Below are 25,018 nucleotides of genomic sequence, written 5' to 3'. Positions count from 1 at the left end.
GAGATGAAATGTGACCATGTGCCTGCCTGTGGTCCCGTCTTGGGAGCAGAGGCAGGGCTGGAGTTGGGAAATGGAGCTGTGCTTGCTGGTCTGCATGGGGTGGGACCTCTCAAGAATAAGGACTGGTCATTTGCCTCAGGCTCCTTAGCTCCTGGCTCCAGGCTGGATGCAGAGCAGCACCAGCAATGCCGCTAAGCAGAATGTGAGGTTAAAGAGCAGCATTAGTTGGCCCCTCTGGTCTACAAAGTGAATCAGAAACAGAAGCCATCACCATGGGAGAAGAATTTGTATCACAAGGCACTCTCTGCCCAGCTTATTTCCAGGAGGGTAACTCGATGGAACCCAAACCCCAGGAGACTGGGAAACAAGCAGGTGTGGGTGATCTGGAGAGAGGGAAGCATGGAGTGTGCTGGAAAAGGCAGAGGCCAAACAAACCTGGGTTCAGTTGTGAGGCTCCATGCGTATTAGGTGTGGGATCTCAGATCAGGTTACTCAACCGCTTGGGGTCTCTTCCAATTTATAGTCCACTTCAACACCTATAAATTTGGCATAATAATACCAAACTTTTAGAGGTACTGCTATGATTAGAGATCACGTCTGGAAATGCAAACCCATGTTGGCTTGGAAGGTTGAATTTGTTTCTTAAAATATCTGTTGCCCAAACATAAAGATCAATCGGCCTCTGTCCTTGAGAAGGCTAGATCTTAAAAAGAAAAAGATAGCCAAGACAAAGATATTTTTCTCTCATTGTAAAAGCACAGCATACATCTTATAAAGCACTAGAAAGTCCACCGAAGAATGAATAAGCAGAAAAACCAATCACAAAGCAGACCACTGTTAATGTGTTGGTGTTTTTTTAGTTCTCTCTCTCTCTCTCTCTTTTTTTTTAAGTGGTTGGTCAGACACAGTGGCTTACACCTGTAATCCCAGCATTTTGGGAGGCCGAAGTGGGCAGATTGCTTAAGCCCAGGAGTTTGAGACCAGCCTGGGCAACATGGCGAAACCCCATCTCTACAAGAAATAAAAAAAAATTAGCCAGGCATGGCGGCACAGCTACTTGGGAGGGTGAGGTGGGAGAATCACCTGAGCCCAGGAGGTTGAGGCTGCAGTGAGCCATTATCATGCCACTGCACTCCAGCCTGGGTGATGGAGTGAGACCCTCTATTAAAAATAAAAATAAAAATAAAAGTGATTATCCCGCTTTGTATTAGTTTTCTACTGCTGCATAACAATTTTCCGTAAACTTAGTGGCTTAAAACAGCATCCTTTTATCTCGCAGTTCTGTTAGGTTTGAAGTCCAGGTAAGATCAACTAGATTCTCTGCTTAGTCTTACAGGCCAAAGTCAAGGTGTTGGTAGCTGGATTCTCATCTAGAGGCTGGGGAAGAATCCCCTTCTAGGCTTGTTCAGGTTGTTGGCTGAATTCAGCTTTTTGCGGCTGTAGGACCGGCGTCACAGTTTCCTTACTGACTGTTAGGTGGGGGCCTCTCTCAGCTTCTGGAAGCTTCTCTCCAGTACCTGCTTGAGATCCCTCCACCTTCAAAGCCAGTAAGGCCATGTTAAATCCTTCTCGTGCTTCAGATGTCTTTGGCTTTTTCTCCTATTACCAGCCAAAGAAAATGCTTGACTTTTAGAGAGCTCCTGTGATCAAATCAGGCACACCCGGTTCACCTCTCTCCTGCCAGGCAGCATAGCATAACCTCAGGAATAAAGTCAGGGATGAGGGCCCTTGGGGCCATTTTAAAGTTCTGCCTGGCCCACACTGTGGGTTCATTGCTGTGTCCTAACACCAGGGTGATGATGAGTACTCATTGTCGTGCTGGTTGTTTATTGCTAGAAGTTGTTTGGGCCATGCTGTGCTTTGGCTGGTTAGTTATTTTTAACTATTTTGAAAGTAGCCCCCGCTTATATGCATTTTCTCTGTCAATGACATTTGTGATGGTTAATGTTAAGTGTCACCTTAACTGGGCTAAGGGATGCCCAGAAGTTGGTAAGACATTATTTCTGAGTGTGCCTGTGAGGGTGTTTCCAGAAGAGATCTGCATTTGAATAGGTAGATAAGTAAAGATCTACCTTCACCAATGTGGATGGGCATCATCCAATCCACTGAGGGCCCAGATAGAACAAAAAGGCAGGAAAAAAAAGTGTACATTCTTTCACTCTTCTTGAGGTAGGCCTCCATCTTCTCTTGTCTTTAGAACTCTTGGTTCTCAGGCCTTTGGACTCTGGGACTTACACCAGTGGCCCCTGGCCCTCTGCCCCACAACCAGCTCTCAGGCCTTCAGATTTGCACTGAATTATACCATCTGTCTTCCTAGTTGTCCAGTTTGCAGATGGCAGGTAGTAGAACTTCTCAGCCTCCATAATCATGTAAGTAAATTCTCTGGAGAACCCTCACTAATGAAACATTCTTTTCACACATTGAACAACTGCATAAGATTCCATTAAATGGATGCTCCGTAATCTATTTAATAAGTCTGCTAACAAATAACTACAATGTAAGGAGTGTAGATTTGATTCGATAGCGGTGGTGAGCCATTGACACTGGGGAATGACATAATCAGCTTTGTGTTTTATGCAGATTACTCAGTCAGAATTGGGAATCGTTGATGGAAGGGAGACTAGGCAGGAACAGAGAAAAGGTGGGGGACCTAGAGGGACTTGAAGTGGGAGAAGTGCCAGCCAACTTGCATCTTTACTAAGAACCTCATGTGCTCAGTCATTCATTTATCCAGCAAACACTGAGCACCTACTGTATTTTTGGCATTGTTCTGGGTCCTGGGGATATAGGGCAATAAAGCAGTCTCCCTGTCTTTAAGGAACTCCATCTAATGAGTAAGAGAAACAGGCACATAGGCCAAAAACCAAGTTCTAGGTCCTCTGATGGTCTTTTGTACAGGCTCCAGTAAGGGATAGAAGAAGAAGTGGCTAATTTTTCCAGAGGGGAGCAGAAGGACAGAAAAGAGGTCAGAAAAGAGAATTCTTAAAAGGAAAGTGTTACAGGTTGAATTGTCCTCCCCTCCTTTTCAGATGTTGAGGCCCTAAACCCTAGTACCTCTGAATGTGACCTTATTTGTCAGTAGAATGTCTACAGGGGGAATCAAGTTAAAATGGGATCATGATAGTGGGCCCTAATCCAATATGACTGGTGTCCTCATACAAAGGGTAAATGTTGACATAGACACACACACAAGAATAACGCCTCATGAAGATAAAGGCAGCAATCAGAGGGAGAATGCTTCTACAGACAAGGAATACTGAAGATTGCCAGCAACTACAGAGATTAGGACGGAGGCCTGAACATATTCTTCCCTACAGCCTTCCGAGGGAGCATGGCCCTGCTGACACGCTGACCTCGAACTTTCAGCCTCCAGAACTGTGAGACAATAAATGTCTGTTGTTGAAGCCACTCCATTTACAGTGCTTTGTTACAGCATCCCTAGTAAACACACATAGTAAGTAGACCCAGGGAAAGCCCATTCAGGGAAACACCAGGGGAGAAAGCAGGCTGGCAAGTTTAGGGCCTGGGGAAGGGATGGGGTAGCAGAAGCCAAGATACAGAGGCAGGCGGGGGCCCTGCTTGCTGAGCAAAGAAGACTGGATTCACCCAGAAGATGATGGAGATTCTGGGCAGGATACTGAGCATGGTTGGAGTGTGGTCAGATCAACCCAGCATATGGGTGGAGGGTACATTGGAGGGAAAGTGTGTGAAACCAATTGAGACTCTGTCGAGATTATCCAGTTAAGTGATGGCAAGGGTCTGATCTGGGTCAACAACAGAGAAGAACCCAATCCAGACATTTTACAAAGATAGAAGCACAGGACTTGGTCATTGACACTGTGTGCTAGGGAAGGGGGACATTTAAGAGAACTCCCAGATTCTCACCTCCAGGTTACTCTAAGACTCTCCAATTTCCAGAAGAGGAACCTGCAGCCCATTAACCAAGACAAGTCAGCAGGCAGTTTTTAATTCCTCCCATTACCAGGAGTAGGGTGGCAGCCCTGGGTTACTGTAATAGGATTTGACCATCCGATTTCAGGCTGGCCCCACTGATAACTGTAGTTGTCATCCCTGTTGAGAAAGGGGAAGCTAAGACTATCATTGTCATATGCCCTCCACACCCTTGAGAAGAAAAAAATCAGTGAGTGTTTCCATAATCACAACTGCCTTGGGAGCTGCCAGGAAATTCCAACAGGAAACTCCCGTTTGGAAGTGTTTTGTTTTGATTAGAACATGTTTATTCCCCTCTAAGGATACACTTTGAAACCAGCACAGGGCCTGGTGTCTATCCTTGAAACAGGCTCCAGGAGGGCCTTGGCCATCCCTGAGGGCAGGAGGCTTGGCCGGGGTGCTGCTGAGCAAGTCTGGGGAACTGAGCTCAGGCACAACAGAGGGACACTGGGGGTCCCAGGGTAAGGTCCTGAAAGCCCCCCAAGGCTGGCATCTGGAGGGGGACTCTGGGAACCAGGATAAGCCACTTCAAGAAGCACCAGATGCTTTTTATTTTGGCTTGAGATTCCTGAGGCTCAGATGAGCTCAGTTCCTGAACCACTGCTCCAAATTGCCATTGAGGTTGATATTTACAACAAAGATCCAGGAGAAGATGAATCAGCCTCATTCCTTTGTTTGGGAGGCTCAGGCTTAAGCTCTTCCCAAACTAGTTCCACCTCACTTTCCAGGTCCCAGGAAGGCTGTGCCCAACAGTCAGGAGGATATTCCAACTGCTAGACCAAATTCAACAGGACCATTACTACTCCTCCTCCCCCTCCCCAGCCTCCCTGGGGAAGCTGGTGAGCCCTTAAGAGACCAGCAGCCCCTGTGGCCTCTTCGACTGCCCTCCATCCATGGAGCAGAGGTCTCAGAGCCCACAGTCAGTGATCTTGTACAGACACTCCTCCACAGAGAACTCATCATTCTGTCTGGAAGAGCAGTGGCCATCAGCCTCCTGGAGCTAGAACAGGGCTCCTAAGCACTCTCCTTCCCTTTAAATGGATTTTAAATGGCCTTTACAAGTCAAGTCTTTCAGGAAAGTAAGTCCAGAGAACAGACTTCAGCTCTTACTTAGCATGAAGATGAGGGTTAGAAATTTGGGTGCCTACTTCCCTTCAGGTTCCCAAAGCCTCTGGTCAATTGTGCAGGGGATTCTAATCAGCTCTCCATAGGGCATCTGGGTTTAGGCATCAACTATTTGAAAGAATCAAATTCACAACCAGAAGTCCCTTCCTCCTCAACATTCCACAATGATTCAATGGTGTAGGAGGCCTTTTGAGCAAGGGACATTGTTGCCTTAGTTTTTGCCACTCAGCTGGACTAGGTTGCTGCAGGGGCTAAAAGTAGTGCATGCTCCTTGCTGAGTGTTTCTTCAGTATAATCAGGGAGATGCCCCAATGCCCAAATTCAAAAAGAAGGGAGGGACTCCTCTCCCACTCCTATCCCCACCAACTAGCTTCCTGCTTTACACGGCTGTCTTTTAATGCAGGTTTTAATATTATTCAGGTACAGGGATGATATGGTTTGGCTGTGCCCTCACCCAAATCTCAACTTGAATTGTATCTCCCAGAATTCCCATGTGTTGTGTGGGAGGGACCCAGAGAGAGGTAACTGAATCACGGGGGGCCAGTCTTTCCTGTGCTATTCTAGTGATAGTGAATAAGTCTCACAAGATCTGATGGGTTTATCAGGGGTTTCTGCTTTTGCTTCTCCCTCATTTTCTCTTGCTGCCACCATGTAGGAAGTCCCTTTTGCCTCCCGCCATGATTCTGAGGCCTCCCCAGACATGTGGAACTATAAGTCCAATTAAGCCTCTTTTTCCTCCCAATCTTCGGTATGTCTTTGTCAGTAGTGTGGAAAAAGACTAATACAAGGGAAGACTATGGAACAGAAGATGATTGCCATTGAAATGACAGTTTGTTACTCACAGTTCCCAAAAAAGGGGGCACATTCAGGGCCACACGGGGAACCAAGGTCCATTGGGAGGCAGAGGAAGCAAGGGGAGAATGCCAGCAGGAGCCTCTATTCTGGATTTCTCAGGAAGGAATGGGCAAGACAGGGTAAGCAGGCTTAGAATGGGCAAGTTTGGATGGTTTTAGTGGACTCTGGGACATAGCGGCTGTCCCTAGTTGCCTGGTACTGGTCTTGGGGTGATTAGGGCAGGTGGAGAATGGCCCAGATTATGAGGTACTGGTATGTGAGCACCGCATCTGTTGGCCTGCGTAAGAAAGGTACACTCTGCAATTGAATCATTTACTATCTCTGTGACTTGGTCAATCCTGAGGGCAAAGTCTGGGAAGCAGTCCCTCCAGGGTCAGTAAAAGGCTCTAGATGTGAAAATATCCAAATTAAAAAATAAAACAAAACGAAATGAAAAAGCAGAGTTGAGGCTCTACCTCTACAATTTCTTTCTTTAATTAGCCAGGCTTGGTGGCATTGCATCTGTCAACCTAGCTACATGGGAGGCTGAGGCAGGAGGATCAGTTGAGCTTAGGATTTGAGGCTGCATTGAGCTGTAATCATACCACTGCCCTCCAGCCTGGGCAAATGAACAAGACCCTGTCTCTAAGAAAAGAGAAAAAAAACTTGAGTGCATCCTCAGTAGTGGGTGCTAACAACTGTCCAGCCAAGGATACACACACAACATCTGACATTGGACAAAGAGGATTTCCTATTCTTGGCCTCCCAGAAGTCTCAGGGCCATTTGGGTAAGTAGTTGCAGCAGAATTGTTACAGTAGGTCATCAGATAGAGATGAGCAGGGCAGGAGAGGACCCCCACCCACCAGGAATGTCAGGCAACCATCAGGTGATGGTCAGGTAGTTATTATAATAATAAACTGTCTCTCTAATAATTGGTCACAGCCAGGGCCAGGGAAAGGCAGTCTTCCATTAGACAGAAACACCTGAAACTGGTGATCAGCAACTTTCCTGATAAGATCTCAGGAGTTGGGCGAGTGGGCTGAAGCATGTGCACTAAGAGGCAAAATGGCGGAGTTTAACTGGTATATGACCTTCCACTAGGAAGAAGGCCTCAAGTGAGCATGTGTACAACTCAGTAAACACACCGCTCATGCTTCCCCTCCCAAGCGCTAGCAGGCCACAGCGCATGCAGACAGTGCACCCCAAGGGAAGATTCAGGGGAGAAGGGATGTGGGACTCTGGAGGTATGCCAATGTGTAAAACCCCAAATCAAAGGTCAAAACTGCACACTTGATCTCTCAAGTCGCCGGCTTGGCCCTCTTCCAAGTGTACTTTACTTCCTTTCGTTCCTGCTGTAAAGCTTTTTAATAAACTTTCACTCCTGCTCTAAAACTTGCCTCCGTCTCTCCTTCTGCCTTATGCCCCCCAGTTGAATTATTTCTTCTGAGGAGGCAAGAATAGAGGTTGCTGCAGACCCGTAAGGATTCACCGCTGCTAAGACAGTTTGGTGCTGTGTCTCTGATATGTTCCACTGCTAACAGAACCATAGCACCCATTTTACAGACGATTAAAGTGAAGTGCATGATATGACTCACACAGCAAGTGCAGACAGAGCTGGGCTTAAAATGCAGGTCTCCTTGGGAATGTCCGTGAAGTCTCCTTTCAAGTACATCCACTGCCTTTCGGGAAGAAGAGGGATCTCTACGCAGTCAGGAGACTGGACCGGGATCCTGTCCTTAAAACTGTTTTGGAAGAGGAGAAAAATACTGTCAGAAAACATCTGTTGTCCATTGGCTACACAGATAGCCACATCAATGGTCAAATAAGTATCTATTTAGTTGAATGAAGCCCATTAAAAAGCAATAAACACTTTAGTGACTTCATTTATCAACTTAATACTATCTCGTGATGTTTCTTGCTTTACAGCTAATCGAACTTCTCATGCATTGTGCCACTGGATTTGATTCAAACACTTACTTAGTGAGGTCTGCTCTGTGCCAGCCTCTGTCCTAAGAGCTGGAGAAACAGTAACTAAAATCCTGTATCTGCCCTCAAGATATAGTGGTGGCAAGAAATAGGTGACAAGCACATTACAATATACAGTACAATAAGTACAAATAGGGACCAAGGATACTGAGGACACAAAGAAGGAAATGGTAAATAATAAACTCTTTGGTCAATAACATTCAGGGAAGGGCTCCTACAGGAAGTAACATCTGGGCTGATTTTTAGAGACAAGTTCACCAGATGAGTAAGAAAATATTCCTACTTCTGTTGATGGGAATAACATGGGCAAAGGCCCAGAATAAAATCGGAATATTTGTCATTGAAGCATTTTTTATTTTTCTTAGCTGCAAGCAAAAGACTCAAAGGTGGCTTAAACAATTTAAAAAATATAAAAACAAAAATGAAAGATTAAACTAAATGTATCTCACATAATAAGTCCAGAAGTGGGGCAGTTCCAGGGCTGGTTAATTAAGCAGTTTAATGACATCGGCATGGGCCCAGATTTCTTCTGTCTTTCTGTTCTGCCACCTTCAGTGAATTTTATTCTCAGGCTCTCCTGATGTTCCCAGTATGGCTGCAATAGATCCAAACATCACAGCCTCACCCAACAATGTCAAAAGACCAGAAGGAAGTGCATCTCTTCCTTGTGCGCCCTTTTAACAGTGTAGATATCTTTCAGAAAAATCTTCCCTGGGAGCCTCTGGGAGAGCTCCTATAATTCTCATCTGCCAGAATTGCATCACATGGCCATTCCTTGATTTCAAAAAATTACTGAACATATGAAAAAAACCTCAACATCACTAATCATTAGATAAATGCAAATCAAAACCACAATGAGATACCAACTCACACCAGTCAGAATGATGATTATTAAAAAGTCAAGCAACAACAGATGCTGGCAAGGCTGTGGAGAAATAGGAACGCTTTTACGCTGTTGGTGGGAGTGTAAATTAGTTCAACCATTGTGGAAGTCACTGTGGTGATTTCCCAAGGAACTAGAACCAGAAATGCCATTTGACCCAGGAATCCCATTACTGGGTATATACCCAAAGGAATAGAAATCATTCTACTACAAAGACACATACACACAATATGTTTATTGCAGCACTATTTACAATAGCAAAGACATGGAACCAACGCAAATGTTCATCAATGATAGACCGGATGAAGAAAACGTAGTTCGTATACACCATGGAATACTATGCAGCCATGTAAAGGAATGAGATTATGTACTTTGCAGGGACATGGATGAAGCTGGAAGCCATCATCCTCAGCAAACTAACACAGGAACAGAAAACCAAACATGTTATCACTCATAAGTGGGAGTTGAACAATGAGAAGGCACGGACACAGGGAGGGGAACATCACACACCAGGACCAATGAGGGGGTGGAGAATGAGGGGAGGGAGAGCATTAGGACAAATAGCTAATGCATGTGGGGCTTAAAACCTCGATGACGGGTTGATAGGTGCAGCTAACCACCATGGCACATGTATACCTATGTAACAAACCTACACATTCTGCACTTGTATCCCAGAACTTAAAGTAAAATTTTAAAAAAATTACTGGCCAGGGAGATAGAACTAGCATTGTTGGTTCTTAGACCAATCAAGGTTCTCTTCTAGGGAGTGCAGAAGAATCAAACTTACCCTTGTGTACATGGCCTCCTAACACCTGAGCAAATTGGGGTTCTGTGTAAGGGAGACTGATGGGCAACTGCTATTGACCTAAGGCCTCACTTTGGAGAGTAGTCACATGGGCTCCAGCGCCGGTTCTAACAGTCTCTCATTGTGTGACTTTAGGCAGTCACATCCCCATCTAAGCGCTCTCTCTGCCTTAATCAGGAACTCTACTACGTGAGGGCCTTGTTCAAGTGAGCCAGGAGGTGCAGAAGCACGGGAAGTACAATAAAATGAAGTCATAGCAGGAACCTCATCCCTCAAGTCCATAATTTGTCATCATTTCATTGCTCTTCATCTGCCCCACATTGCAGAGGGCATGGGGCCTCTGGTCCTTCTAGAGCTCCACCTCCACACTCCAGAGACACCTGCTTCTTGCAGAGGCAGCTGATGCTCACCAAAGAGCCAAGTGCTCCCAAGCTTTCTCCCATTTTCCTGCCGTCAGGCTGGGGAAACGTGCCTGGGTTCTGACCAATGGGATGTGGCTGAGCCTTAAAGACACCCTGAGCAGCCCTTTCTCGACAGCTCCCTGGGAGTCCACACGTTCTAACCAGCGTAGGTACCAAATGACCCAAATCAGCCTGTGATGTGATGCTTCAACAGGGTGTGAGCAGGACCAAATGCGTTCAGTGGTATGAAAGAGTTCTGTAAACTAGAAAGTGTTACTTACGTGTGAGCAAATAACAGAATTAAGGGTAATAATGTTGTTAGTTGCAACAATGGCGCTGGTAATGGAGGCAGGGGGATAAGTTACTGTTGCAGGGTAGCAATTCTAGAAGTTGCAGTTGTGGGGGTGAGAGTAGCCAGGCAGAGGTAGGATAATGGTGGTGTTTGTGGTAGTGATACAGTAATGTGATATTGACAGCCGCGATGGTGGTGGCATATTTGAAAATAAGCTAAAATCTGCACAGTAAGGTTAATAGCGGTAATGATGGTGATGGGAGCAGCTGCAGAAAGCCTGTTTGCATTCTCGGCAGGGAGGGCAGAGCTAGCACAGTGATGCTGGGTCTTGCTTAGAGCTGTCCGTGTTTCTCTATCCTTAGCTCTTGGCAATTATTATTATTATTATTATTATTATTATTATTATTATTATTATTATTATTTTAAGACAGAATCTCGCTCTGTCGCCCAGGCTGGAGTGCAGTGGCGGAATCTCAGCTCACTGCAAGCTCCGCCTCCCAGGTTCATGCCATTCTGCCTCTGCCTCTGCCTCACCCTCCCTCCTGAGTAGCTGCGACTACAGGCACCTGCCACTAGGCCCGGCTAATTTTGTTTTGTATTTTTAGTAGAGAGGGGGTTTCACCGTGTTAGCCAGGATGGTGTGATCTCCTGACCTTGTGATCCGCCCGCCTCAGCCTCCCAAAGTGCTGGGATTACAGGCATGAGCCACCGCGCCTGGCCACTCTTGGCCATTATTTTAAGCCTTTAGAAGGCCTGGCTGCTCTAACTTGTGGAAGCCCCACCCCTTTCAAAAGAAATTCCTTGATTTTTTTCACAGTAAGGAAACTGTAGCTCTATAGACTATCAGGCTTCCCAAATTATGTATGTAATTCTAAATGAGTGTAGTTGTGGCTGACTATTGGTATGTGTTGTAGGCTTCCAATTAAATAATAATAAATAATAAATAAATAATAAATAGAATATTGGAAAACCAAATACTACATGTTCTCACTTATAAGTGAGAGCTAAGCTGTGGGTACGCAAAGGCATACAGAGTGGTATAACGGATATTGGAGACTCAGACTTGGGTGGGGGGAGTGGGGTGAGAGATAAAACATCAACTATTGGGCACAATATACACTATTCAGGTGACAGGTACACTAAAAGCCCAGGTTTCGCCACTATACAATTCATCCACGTAACCGAAAGCCACTTATACCCCTAAAGCTATTGAATTTGTTTTTAATTTGCTGTTTATGTATTTTGCAGCAAATTTTTCAGCCCTGAAACATTTTTGTAGGCTCCCAAAAAGTGTATAGACCCTTACAGTGCCTAATAGTGAGAGGTGACAGCGTGCTGGCAGCCCTCGCTCACTCTTGGTGCCTCATTGGCCTCGGCACCCATTCTGGCCATGCTTCAGGAGCCCTTCAGCCCGCTGCTGCACCATGGGAGACCTTCTCTGGGCTGGCTGAGGCCGGAGCCGGCTCCCTCGGCTTGCGGGGAGGTGAGGAGGGAGAGGCACGGGCGGGAACCGGGGCTGCGCACAGCGCTTGCGGGCCAGCGCGAGTTCCAGGTGGGCGTGGGCTCAGCGGGACCGCACTTGGAGAGGCCGGCCGGCCAGCAATCCCCAGGCAGTGAGGGGCTTAGCACCTGAGCCAGCAGCTGCTGTGCTCGATTTCTCGCCAGGCCTCAGCTGCCTTCCCGTGGGGCAGGGCTCGGGACCTGCAGCCCGCCATGCCTGAGCCTCCCCCCACTGCCTTGGGCTCCTGCGCGGCTGGAGCCTCCCTGACGAGTGCAGCTCCCTGCTCCAGGGCGCCCAGTCCCATCGACCTCCCAAGGGCTGAGGAGTGCGGGCGCAGGGCGCGGGACTGGCAGGCAGCTCCACCTGCGACCCCAGTGCAGGATCCACTGGGCTCCTGAGTCTGGTGGGGACTTGGAGAATCTTTATGTCTAGCTAAGGGATTGTAAATACACCAGTCAGCACTCTGCATCTAGCTCAAGGTTTGTAAACACACCAATCAGTACCCTGTGTCTAGCTCAGGGTTTGTGAATGCACCAATAGACACTCTGTATCTAGTTAATCTGGTGGGGACTTGGAGAACCTTTATGTTTAGCTAAGGGATTGTAAATACACCAATCAGCACTCTGTATCTAGCTCAAGGTTTGTAAACACACCAATCAGCATCCTGTGTCTAGCTCAGGGTTTGTGAATGCACCAATCGACACTCTGTATCTAGCTAATCTAGTGGGGAGGTGGAGAACTTTTGTGTATAGCTCAGGGATTGTAAATGCACCAATCAGCACCCTGTCAAAACAGACCAATCAGCTCTCTGTAAAACAGACCAATTGGCTCGCTGTAAAATGGACCAATCAGCAGGATGTAGGTGGGGCCAGATAAGAAAATAAAAGCAGGCTGCCCCAGCCAGCAGTGGCAACATGCTGGGGTCCTCTTCCACACTGTGGTAGCTTTGTTCTTTTGCTCTTTGCAATAAATTGTGCTGCTGCTCGCTCTTTGGGTCCACACTGCATTTATGAGGTGTGACACTTACTGTGAAGGTCTGCAGCTTCAATCCTGAGCCAGTGAGACCACGAACCCACCAGAAGGAAGAAACTCCAAACACATCAGAACATCAGAAGGAACAAACTCCAGACACACCGCCTTTAAGAACTGCAACACCACGAGGGTCCGTGGCTTCATTCTTGAAGTCAGTAAGATCAAGAACCCACCAATTCCGGACACAATAGTGGCTAATGGTCAAAGCATCTCCAGCTTTAGGGGCTGTCCAAGGAGGGAAGGAATGGATTCTTCCTCCTCCCACCACACGCTTGATTTGTCCTTATGTGAGGGTCCCTGGTGCATGTGGTGAAGGCCACCTATGGGCCTCTCTCTCCAGTAACAAAGGCCTAGAGATGCGACACACATACATACACACACACATACACACACACACACACACACACCCCTGCAGACCCAGAGGTTGGAAGACCAGGTCAGGCTACCATCCCCTGTGGCTGGTGTGCCAGGGCCTCCTGGGACATGAGGGCACCAGAGCCCAGCCCTAAGGACTCAGGCTACCAAAGGTTTCCATTGCTTCGTGGGCCTTAGTGTTTTCCTTGAAAAGCATTAACAATTACTGTCTTAAAGCAAAGCAACAGGCAGAGGGACTGACAGGTGGCTACAAGTGGTCTTGCTCTTGGGCCTGAGCAGATGTTTCTGACAATTCCTCACTGAGCCTGGGGGCCGGGTCCCAGATGGAATTCTAAAAGTTTGGAGCGGCTTAGGAGCAGCAGTTTAAAGGCACCAGAGAATTCAGGTGAGGGTCTGGGAAAAGAAAATCCACCTTCAGCCTCAAGAAGGTGCCAGATCTTGTTGAAGGACCCTTGAAGGCTGCAGCCTCTGGAGACTCAAGGGGCTTTCTCATGCAAGGGGCAATGGACAGGGAAGCTGAAACACATCTGAAGGGCCGGCAAAGGTTCTCGTTTCTGGCTCGGAGAGAGCAGAAGTAAAAATTGCCAATGGCTCCTGTCTCCTGCAGAGCAAAATCCCAACTCCTACCCGTGGCACACGGGGCTATCTGTGATAGGATCGCTCGTCCTTATAACACTTTTAAAATTCAGCTTTCCTAAGATTCAAGGGCCACCTACTCACCTTCCTGCCCCACCTCTATCTCTCAGCCACACTGACCTGTCCATGTCCAGCCCTGCATCTTTGCCTGCCCGTTCCTCAAGCTCACTTCTTCTTTGAAACCAGCCGTGACCCTCCCAGGCAGTACTGGTCAGTCCTTCAGCTGGGCCCCACTATTGGGCGCATACTTACATAATGGCATGTATTTTGCTGACCTGCAATTTTTTGTTTCCGTGACTGTCTCTGCACAAGTGTGTGAGTTCCTCCAACCAGGAGTGTTTTATTCATTTGAGTGTGCTCAGCACCATGCCCGGTCCTTGCCCTATGATGGGTCCTCAGTAAATAGGCGAGAAATGAATGAAGAGCAACTCTACTGATTAATACATGAAGACGTAACTGAATCATTGAAAGAATGAGAGCAGGGGGCATTTACTTTCAATAAGGGACGCTGTCTGGTGCTACTCAATTTCCTAAGCACTGTGTGTGAAAGGAGTCCTCAGGCCTGTGTTAGGGTTTCCTTAAGGGAGGGGCTCTCCCTCGCTGGGAGGAGCCCTGGGGGCTGCAGAGTGGCTTTGCAGCTGCTGCTAACCCTAACCATGTGCGCGTGCTGGGCGGCCGGCGGGCCACTTCATTACTTTGTGCTTAAGGAAATGCCTCCCAGCTCTGCACTTGCCTTTTTAAATTTCACAACCACTAAATTCACTCCCAGTGTTGCTTTATAGCAAGCGAAAGTAGTGTGGGGGATCCACAACAGACGTCTCTCCACACAGCCAGCCCGGGCGCGGCCTGAGACTGGGGTGGGGAGCGGGGACCCACAGCTGTCCAAGGCTGCCTCTCCAAGGAGACCCCGGCCCCTCAGCAGAATCTGCCAAGCTGGGGTAAGGGAAAGCTTCTCTTCCGTAATTAAAGTCTGAGTCTTTTCTATTTTTTATTTTTTTGCAGTAGTTTTAGGTTCACAGCAAAACTGAGCAGAAAGTAAAGAGAATTCCCATATACACCCCGTTCCCACATATTCATACTCACAACCACCCACTATCAATATCCTGCACCAGAGTATGACTGTAAAATCAATGAAGCGTATATTGACACATCATCACCTGACGTCCATCGTTTACATTAGGGTTCACTGTTGGTAATGTACATTCTATAGATTTGTACAAATGTAGAATGCCATGGAGCCACCATTGTAGGATCACACAGAATAGTTTTGCTGCCCTAAGAATCCTCTGTGCTCTGCCTATTTATCCTCCTTCCCTCAACCCCTAGCAGCCACTGACCTTGTTACTATCGCTATCGTTTTGTCTTTTGCAGATGGTCATATAGTTAGAATCATAGAATAAGTAGGCTTTTCAGATTGGCATCTTTCACTTACTGCTGGGAATTTAAGGTTCCTCCATATCTTCTTGTAAGCCTGAGTCTTTTATTTATTTATTTATTTATTTATTTATTTATTTACTTATTTTCAGACAGAATCTCGCTCTGTCTCCAGGCTGGAGTGCAGTGGCAACCTCTGCCTCCCGGGTTAAGCCTGAGTCTTTGAATAGGAGCTGCAGACTTAGGAGCACTAGTTTAGGGATGAGGTCAATGTGGCTTTAGGTTCTAACTTTGTTATTTGTGAGCTTGGACCATTCACTCACTCCCTCCAGTCCCAGCACTGCACACTACCTTCTCCTCCCCTTGGAGGTCTTGTCAGTCTTTCTCTTCTATTTTGTTTTATTTACCTCAGCACCAAGCCAGGGCCCAACTATGGTTTCCACGCAGTGAAAGGCCAGAAAGCCGTGGACCAATTAATGGATAAGTGGGACAACAGGAACTCAAAAGCCCCCCGCCCCTTTTTTGAGACAGGATCTTGCTATGTTGCCCAGGCTGATCTCAAAATCCTGGGCTCAAGAAATTCTCTTATCTCAGCTTCCCAAGTAGCTACAATTACAGGCTTAAGTGATCATGCCCATCAAAACACCATTTTAACTGAAAAATGTGACGCGCTGTTTCCTAAGTGAGTGCCACTGTAGAGTAAGAAGACCCCAGAAACCGGAGATGTGGGTTCCAGCTCCAACTCGACCTCCTGGGCTACCGGGGATGTGTCTCGGGGCTCTCTTTGCCCTCTGTCAACACCGTGGAGATGTCAGTGACCTCAAAGGCAGGGTGTGAAAATGAAACAAGATGCTGGCAAGAAGCAGGGCCCCGGGAACTATAAACTCTGGGCTCCAGGAGGCAGTATTTTGGAGGACAGAAGGGTCATCCCCAAAATTCAGGCCAGCTGGCTGTCCCTGTCTTCTGCAAAGCACAGAGAGAGGTCATATGGGGACATGGCTTCCCTAGGATCCACCTTTATATGACTTGGTGGCCTTCAGTGAAGCTAAATATCACAGCTGCCAGACACTTTCCAATGGCATGACGTTGCGTTATTGTCTAATCCTCCCAATAAGCCACAGAGAAGGTACGACGATTCCTCAGAGGCCAGTCCTTTCATCAAGGTGGCCCAGCTAGCAGGGAGCAGCGCTGGTGTCCGACTCACGCACTTCAGGCAACCCTAACACCCTTGCTTTCACCAAGTCAACCGTGGGCTTCTCCTCCTCTCAATCAAAGACCTGGAAGAGCTCACATGGGAACACACCTGTATGTAAACCGACTGAGAATCCTGGAGATCGCTTGCCTAGGGCACTCTCCTGGGCTTGAATAAATGACTTTCCTAAGAAATGCCATCAGTTCAATGTGCCCACCTCTGCAAGGTGGCAGAGGGGAGCGAGCCCTCAGCATCACCAGCAGGGCCTGGGTGCCAATGAAGAGCAGTCCTTTCGGGCCTGGGGAGTGCCCTAAATGGGAATGCCAGTTTGCCGCAATTGTTTTCATCATCATCATCTGCGCCTCTCAAACTCCACCCACCCTCGCATTACCCAACTCTGGAAGGCCTGCTTGCCCACACTGTTGCCAGACCCCTGGCCTGGCAGTTCTACGTGACTTGGAGCTTCCTTTGGAATACCACAAGTATTTACCCCTTAGCCTTGTACCAAGGGATAAAAACTGGTAAGGGCATAGCTTTCCAACATTTGTCCCACTTTCTGTCCCAACATGGCCTGTGGACACTGCTCAGGCTGGGCTCCATCTAGGAGCTCTTTTCCCTCATTCTCTCACGTCACAAAATTCACTGAGCTTCCCCCATGCACACTAAGCATGAAGATGTGAGTCACAAGTGGTTCCTACCTCCAAGGAGGCCAGCACTTATCCTGCACAGGCACTGGGCTGTGAAGACAATCTAGTGAATGAAACCAACTGTCTAGTCGGCCGCCCTCCCAAGCCTGCGGCCCTTCCAAGCCTGCGGCTCTCCCAAGCCTGCTGCCTCTCTAGCACAAAGCCAGATACGCCCCAGAGTGATGGGAGAAGGAAGCCAGAGCCAGGGCAGGCTGGGGCAATCTAGGAAACTGAGGCTGAGGGAGGTTTCACGACCTGCCCAAGGTCACTCTAAATGGCACACTCAGAGCGAGGACCACCAGGAAGATGACAAGGGGGACGGGGAGAGACCCCCAGCAATGGCTGCTGTCTCAATTACTACTTCTTGGGGAGTCATCAGCAGGACCCCTGGAATGCCACCCACACTGGAAGGCATCTAGTGTCATAAGATTGAGAGTCCCACATTCCAAACTCCAGCCTGAAGCTGCTGCTCAACACAGAGATGGGATCCAGATTATAAACAGTACCATGCGTAGACCCAGGCAACCAGGCCCTGCCCTCCCTGGAGATCTGGAGGTCCCGCCGGGTCTCCCTGCAGCAGCGCTCCTCCCTACAGAGAGCAGAACCTGCTGGGCCAAGGAAATGTGCCACCCCGAGCCTATGTCCCTCCCCAGTCCCTGGATCGTGCTCCATAAACCCAGGACCCAGGAATGCCCTGCCGCCCAAATACCTCAGAGCTTGCTTCCAGGGTCTATGCTCCTAATGGCTGATTGGGTCACGGGGTACTCACTCCTAGGTCCAAGGCGTGGCAAAGAGATGACTGTTTGGGGGTCAGAACGGACGGAGCTTGGACTAGCAAGCCGGAATGTTCCATGAGGTCCCCTCCTGGTGGGAGATAAAGCCAAGGTTGTGGAAGAAAGGAGGCAGGCTGCAGGCCAGGTGCCTTCCTTTCTACTCTCACCTCGCGTTCCTCAAACGCGAGGTGGGGGACGAGGAAGTGCAGAGCCCTCCCAAACCACCCTCCTGTTCTAGCACGCTCCCCTCACTGCGCAGGCGCAGAGCTGCTGCCGCCTTCCGTACAGCCCGCGATCCCTAAGCCAACCAGGAGCCAGGCTGCTGCCTCTCTCCGCTCTTTGGTTGCTATAGAAGCCATTTTAGAAAACCTTTTCTGCCAACAGCCCTTGTCAGAGCCTGGCTCGGAGCACCTGGCCCTTCAGCCCTGGGCAGCACACATTCCTCAGATGGGGCCAGCGGAGGAGGGGACCATGGGAGAGGCTGAGGAAGCACAGGCTGGTCACTCTTTTTTTTTTTTTTTTTTTTTTTTGAGACGGAGTCTCGCTCTGTCGCCCAGACTGGAGTTGCAGCAGCGCGATCTCAGCTCACTGCAACCTCTGCCTCCTGGGTTCAGGCGATTCTTCTGTGTCCGCCTCCCGCGTAACTGGGATTACAGGCGCCAACCGCAACGCCCGGTTAATTTTTGTATTTTTAGTAGAGACGGGGTTTCACCATGTTGGCCAAGCTGGTCTCGAAGTCCTGACCTCAGGTGATCCGCCTGCCTCGGCCTCCCAAAGTGCTGGGATTACAGGCATGAGTCACCTCTGCGCCAGCCCAGGCTGGTCACTCTTGCAACCTTGTCAACCTTGCAAGAACCAGACTTGTCCCCAGTCTCCCCCTATTTGTCCCTTCATCCCTCCTGAAGAGATCCTGTCTTCTAAACCCTGCCCCGCTCCCGTACCTGCTGCTTGCTCTGGCCTCTGGCCGGGCGTTTGTCATGGGCTCCGTGGCTTCACTCTCCACAGGTGTCTGTGGTTTCACGTGGCGGGGTGGGAAGATAAAGGAAACTGGTATTTCCCTATCAGGCCTCAAGGTGAAGTGCCTTCAAGTGCTTGGTTTTCTCCTGCTAGAATGGGCCATCTCTTAGTAACGCTCCCGCATGTTCTTGTGGCAACAGAGCCTCCACCTCTTCTCTCCATGTTGCCGGTGACTCCCTGCTGCCACCAGAGCTGTATGGGGACCAAGGTCCCAGGGCAGGCAGGGCACATGCCACACAGGAGGAGGAAGTGGGAGAACACACATCCCACACAGGGGCTCAGCCGACTCCGTGCATGAGGAGTCCTGGACGGGAGCATCCCCCGTCCTAAAGAAGAAAGTGCATATTTGGCCCCAAAGGAACCAGCAATTCAAGAAAGGATTGGCCTTGAGAGACGAGCGGAAGGCTAGGAAATGTGAGCGTGCCTGCCTCTGCCCTCCTCCACCGAGGCTGGGAGGGAGACTTCAGAGCATAGGAAGCAGAAAGTGTTTGAGGAATGCCTGCCCCCGAGTGAGGAGCCCCACCCTGGGCTGGCTCCCTGACTTCCTCAAATGGTCTCACTGCTCTGAGCCCCGGTTTGCCCATCTCCAGAATGGCGATGGCACCTACCACCTGGTATTGCTGAGAGGGTAAGGGAGCAAGGCTGGCCCCGAGGAGGTTCTCTGCCAGCCTCTGTGCCCTGCCCTTTGTAAGCTCCGTACTTCTAGGGGGTCTGCAATTGTGGACTGCGAGAATCAGAGGAGCAAGTGACACAGTGACACAGAGCTGTAATCTGGTGAGTTTGCTCTCTCTGTTCTATTAGAAGGTGTGCTCTGAGAGGGCAGAAAGCTGGCAGGGCTTGTTCCCACTGTGTCTGATGCTGAGAAGAGGACCTGGGGCTGGGTTACAGCAGATAAGTCTCTGCGGAAGGAACAGATGTCATCTCAACACCTGGCACAGGAATGCAAGCTCTGGCTTATCAAGGCTTCTCAGGTCCCCAAAAGCAAAGTTCCTCGTTATGAGGGGTGTATTTTTTTCCAAAGACCAAAAATAGTTCAACATAGCCATTTCTGAATACAGAATTGCTCAAAGTACAGAACAACAAATGAGACACAAAGAATAAAGAGACAAAAGAGACAAAGCCAAATGATACTGGGCTCCCTGGGTACCGGTTTCTGGTGCTCTGTGCTGGCACCCCAAGAGTGCATCCCAGCACGAGGACAGACACCCTCGTGCATTTGCAGCCAGGAGCTCCATTCATCACGCTCATTCCCTTCTTGGTTCATTGTGATTTTAGCCAAAAGCACCTGTTGAGGATGCATTTTTTTCTTCTCAAAAGAAGAATCCGAACTGGAGTGTGAGAGAAGTTAGACATGCTCATTTTTTAAAAAGCCTCAATAATTACAAAGTGGTACAATTAAAGTAACAAAAAGGAGATTGCAATTGATTTCTAGAAAGTCAGAGTTTATTGTTAACATTCTGCTTTGAATTTGAGATTGAAAAGCTTCAAGAGGAAAAACTATAATGAATATAGCCTTTAAAGGATTTCTTCATTTTTAAAGAAATAGCGTAGCCTCCTTTTCTCAGATCCTAAGATACTCAGCTGAGTATTTGAAAACATTTTTTTTTAAGACCCAGCCTCATATTCCTGAGACTCTCATAGACTTTCAAAGCTGGAAAAGCCTCAAAAGCCTCAAAGCCTCAAAACTCCAACCAATTCTATATTCCTCCTTGGAGTGAAGAAAACAGAGGCTTTGAACTTGTACAGGCAGGGTTCACACCCCAGCTTGACCAGCTGATGGGGGAACAGCCGCAGGCAGGTCACTTCACTGCTCTGAAACTCAGCAAACACTTCTGAGTAAAATGCTGATGATAATTCCTACCTTGTGGACTTAGGAAAATGTTAACCAACACAATATATGCAAACCCTCGGATTAGTGCCTGGGTGTTTCTCTTGGAGAGGGTCATGAGATGATCATTGGTGGCTACAGAGAGATGTTCCCAGTAAGCTCAGGCCTAGGTCTTGTGAAATATGCAAGAAAGGATATTCACCTATGCTAGGCTTGGTGCTGTCTTCCATTCAGCAAGAGTGCACTCATGTGGACATCCCTCCTCCCCAACTCCCGGGCCCGTGGCCAGCCTGACCCACATGCACACATACCTGCTTCTCCTAAAGTCAGGCCAGGTTCTAAGTCCATCGTGCAGGACACTTGCCGTCCCTCCCCACTCTTTGCTTGTTCCTGCATTTACTGCCACCTAATCTAAGCGCTCAGCTTCAAGAATCCAACTTTGAAGCCCACCTTCCCCACCCCATCCCCTCCCCACCCCATCCAGCCCATTCTCCTGTTTTTAAGAATCTTTATCTCCCAGTGGCTCCAAAAAGATATGTTCACATCCTAATAACCAGACTCTGTAAATGTGAACTTATTCCATGTAAGGGTCTTTGCAGAGGTAATTAAGATCTTCAGATGAGGACATCACTGTGGATTAGCTGGGTGGACCCTAAATCTGATGGCAAGTGTCCTTATAGGAGTCAGAAGAGGATGAGACACAGATATAAGAGGAAGAGAAGACCATGTAAAAACAAGGAATGCCTGGAGCCACCAGAAACCGGGAAAGAAAAGGGAGGATTCTTCCCTGGACCTTGCTGACAAGTTGATTTTGGACTTCTGGTGTCTAGGACTGTAAAAGAGTAAGTTTCCATTGCTTAAAGCCACCAAGTTTCTGGTATTTTGTTATGGCAGCCCTGGGAAGCTAACAGAGTTATCTATTACTATGTAACAAATTAACACAAATTTAGCAGCTTAAAATGATGTCCATTTATTATCTTCAGTTTTAGAGATCAGAAGTCTAGACACAGCATGGCTGGGTTTTCTTCGGCCTCCCAAAGGGCTGGGACTACAGATGTGAGCCACTGTGCCTGGCCCCAAGTGGCTTTAAACAACAATCTAAACCTCTAAGAGCAAGAATTTTGTGGCAGATTGTATTTTTCAAAGTTGATCCCAATACATTCCACCCCACATGTTCTTCTTCAAATGTGACATAGGACCTATGTTTCTACTCCTGAGTCTCATTCTGTGACTACTTGACCAATAGTAACTGGTAGCTTCCAATTGTAGTCTCACGGGATGCTTGTGCTTGTTCTTTAAACCCAGGCTCCATGCAGTGAGGAAGCCCAGTCAGCCCCATGGACAGGCCTATGTAGAGAGGAAGGAACCATCGGCACCAAAATGTTGGCATGTACATAAGCCCTCTCCAGGATGCTCCAGCCCCAGTTGAGCCACCCCAGTTTATGTCATACATCAAAAATATGAGCTGACCCTGCTGAAACCTGTCCAAAATACAGACAGATGAGTAAAATTACCAATCATTGTTGTTTTAAGCTACCAAGTTTTGGGTTGAATTGTTATGCAGCAACAGGTAACTACAACAGATATATGTACCTGAAGTCAGGTGCTATCATAATAGAGTCCTACAATGTAGACATTGGCTTTGGGACCACACAGCCTAACAGCCACAAAGAAAATGTTAGTGAAAACCTTAAGGGCCTTGAGAAGATTGTCAATGAGGGCATTCAGGAAAATCTTGGAAATATTATAGAAATCTTAAAGTCAAGGGGATCCTTGCCATGTAGTGGCAGAAAGTTTAGCAACACTGTAGCCTGCAGTAACATGGAAAATAGGAAGGTATCTAATAATCTTGATGATCTAGCTGAGATTCCAGGCAGATATTGAAAGTGCCTCCTGACTTCTTACTACCTATGATAAAATGTGAGAGGAGGGAGATGAGCTCAAGAACCCGGAACAGCTGGGCTCAAAAATTAAATGTTCTAGGTTGGGCAACATAGCAAGACCCCAACTCCAAACAAAGTTTAAAATAGCTAGGAATAGCAGCTCACACTTATAATCCCAGCTACTTGGGAGGCTGAGGCAGGAGGATCATTTGAGCCCAGGAGTTCAAGGCTGCAATGAGCTGTGGTCATGCAACTGTATTCCAGTGTGGGCAACAGAGCAAGACCTCATCTCTTAAAAAAAAAAATTAAAAGTAAAAGTAAAGTCAATTGTTTTCATTTCCAAGTCTTTCCAGATACAAACAATTCTCAAAGTAAGAAAGGAACTCTGGCCAAATATAAATCCAGTATGAGTGCCTCTTAGGATCTCTCAGACAGACGAAAGTTCCTCTAAGAATCTTTTTTTTTTTTCTTTTGAGGCGGAGTCTCGCTCTGTCGCCCAGGCTGGAGTGCAGTAGGGCGATTTCGGCTCACTGCAAGCTCTGCTTCCCAGGTTCACGCCCTTCTCCTGCCTCAGCCTCCGGAGTAGCTGGGACTACAGGCACCCGCCACCATGCCTGGCTAATTTTTTGTGTTTTTAGTAAAGATGGGGTTTCACCGTGTTAGCCAGGATGGTCTCGATCTCCTGACCTTGTGATCCGCCCGCCTCAGCCTCCCAAGGTCCTCTAAGAATCTTAAGGGCATGTTTCAGCCAAGCAGATACAGCTGATGCCCTATGGCACAAAGATGAACTGTCCCCACTGAGCACCATCCAAATTATCAATTTATGAGCAAAATTAATGATTGCGTTGTGTTAAGCCACTAAGTTTTGGGGTCGTTGGTTATGCAGCAATTGATAACTGGACCAGATGGAAACTACACGGTTCTCTATTCTCCGTCCATTACCCACGGAAACAATGGCCTCTCTGATGTGAAGCTGGGGCTTAGCATTCTGTCTCCTGACCCACAGCATCTTACCTGGTGGACAGGTTCTGGTTGGCATTGGAGACAGGGAAGTCTCCATTCATTTGGTGGCTTTTCTGAATCCCAGAGGAACCTACACTTTCGATAGAGAGACATCACGAAGACTGACCTCCCAGGCTTCAGTCTCAGGAGAGGTGCCGCGGGGCAGGGAGAGGTATAAGGTGAGCTGGGCTGGGACTCAGGGAGGGAAATGACCTGACTCTGAAGAAGCAGCTGGGTGTTCTCTTCCAGGATCCCTTCTTAGAGCAGATTCCAATGGGGCATCGGGGTGATGTTCAGAGAAGTACTCAGAATCCTCCTCCTTCCTGCTGGATCAGGGAGCAGGCTGATTTCTGTGTGAGGTCTGAGGAGCGGCGCCTGTAGGAGCCCTCACCCTCCTTCCCCTCACTCATTTATTATTGATCAGTCATTGGCCGAGGCCTCCACCATGAAAGGCACAGGGGACAGGTATTAATCAAAGAGCCATCATCTGGTGGAGGAGGCAGGCAGGGACACAGGTGACCTCCGCAGGCTCTTTAGAGTCTCCACTGAAGACTCGCTGGGGCTGTGAGAGGCCAGAGAAAGGAACCACGAAGGCCTGGGATGTAGGGAAGGGCTGCGGACACAGGAGACACACAGGTAGGCAAGGCTCCTTGCCTAAAGGGGAGCAACACTCACAATCTCAGTGTGACCTTGTCCCTCCCCTATGCTCCAGGCTCACACCCCAGCCATCAAGAACAATTACCAGTTTCCTCCAGGCTGTACCACTGAGCTTTTGTTAAAGCTGTTCTTTATTCCTGGAAAGCTTCTCCCCGCCTTGCCTGGCTAATTCCTATTCCTCATTAGAAATTCGTATAAACTCGATAACACCATTCATTTGATCCTTATCTTCTGAGATATGTATAATCCCTCTCCCTTATTTTACAGGTGAGGAAGCAAAGGGTCAGCTAGTTTTAGGCACTTTCTCAGTGTCCGCACTGAGAGATAGAGTATATAGGTGCTGAGCCATGCACACACACAGCCGTAATCTGAATTAAGAAGCCAGAGCCTTTTTAAAACTTGCATCCCCTGTCCTCCTGAAAATTGTTAATAAAAAAAGGTGATGTAGCAAAAATAACTAAGGTATTAAATCAACAAAAAACTCCTCTTTTCTTTTGACCCAAGGGGCTTTAGTCACATCTATAAAGTTCTACTTCTTTTTAAAATATAAAGCCAGTGTAGCAAAATACCCAGATTTGATAGTGGTCAAATATTTGTTTATTATGTTGTTCTCTGTTCTTATGTATAAGTATCTTCATCCTTTTTCTTTTGCTAATACATTTTACTTTAATTAAACCCTAAGGAATCAGATCTAACATTTCATATTCAAATAATTCAAAGATCATAGTATAGATAATAAAAGTAGTTTGTTGTTTGGGGGTACATTGACAAGTAGTCTCAAGAA

The 25,018-nt window shown here is 47.8% G+C and overlaps 1 long non-coding RNA gene across 1 annotated transcript in view, besides 1 other annotated feature; it reads right to left on the bottom strand.

The window, feature by feature from the left end:
- LINC01804 (long intergenic non-protein coding RNA 1804) overlaps nt 1-18,100 on the bottom strand; it is a 28,180-nt gene extending 10,080 nt beyond the window's left edge. Inside the window, exons 1-4 of the long non-coding RNA NR_110201.1 lie at nt 18,015-18,100; nt 17,784-17,938; nt 8,347-8,492; nt 7,507-7,653 (exon numbers count right to left, since the gene is read on the bottom strand). This is a non-coding gene — a long non-coding RNA (long intergenic non-protein coding RNA 1804). The remainder of the gene's footprint in view (nt 1-7,506; nt 7,654-8,346; nt 8,493-17,783; nt 17,939-18,014) is intronic.
- Nucleotides 14,538-15,038: an enhancer, noted in NCBI's record as "H3K4me1 hESC enhancer chr2:15833968-15834468 (GRCh37/hg19 assembly coordinates)". NCBI's record gives its function as "activates a minimal SCP1, AML or CMV promoter by ChIP-STARR-seq in naive H9 embryonic stem cells {active_cell/tissue: H9 hESC(naive)}" and the evidence as "EXISTENCE:reporter gene assay evidence [ECO:0000049][PMID:30033119]".
- Nucleotides 18,101-25,018: the final 6,918 nt, after the last annotated feature.

The sequence above is a fragment of the Homo sapiens genome, chromosome 2, assembly GCF_000001405.40.
Source record: "Homo sapiens chromosome 2, GRCh38.p14 Primary Assembly".
NCBI lineage: Eukaryota > Metazoa > Chordata > Mammalia > Primates > Hominidae > Homo > Homo sapiens.
Note: the sequence above shows the minus strand (reverse complement) of the source record. Positions and strands in the feature narration are given on the sequence as shown.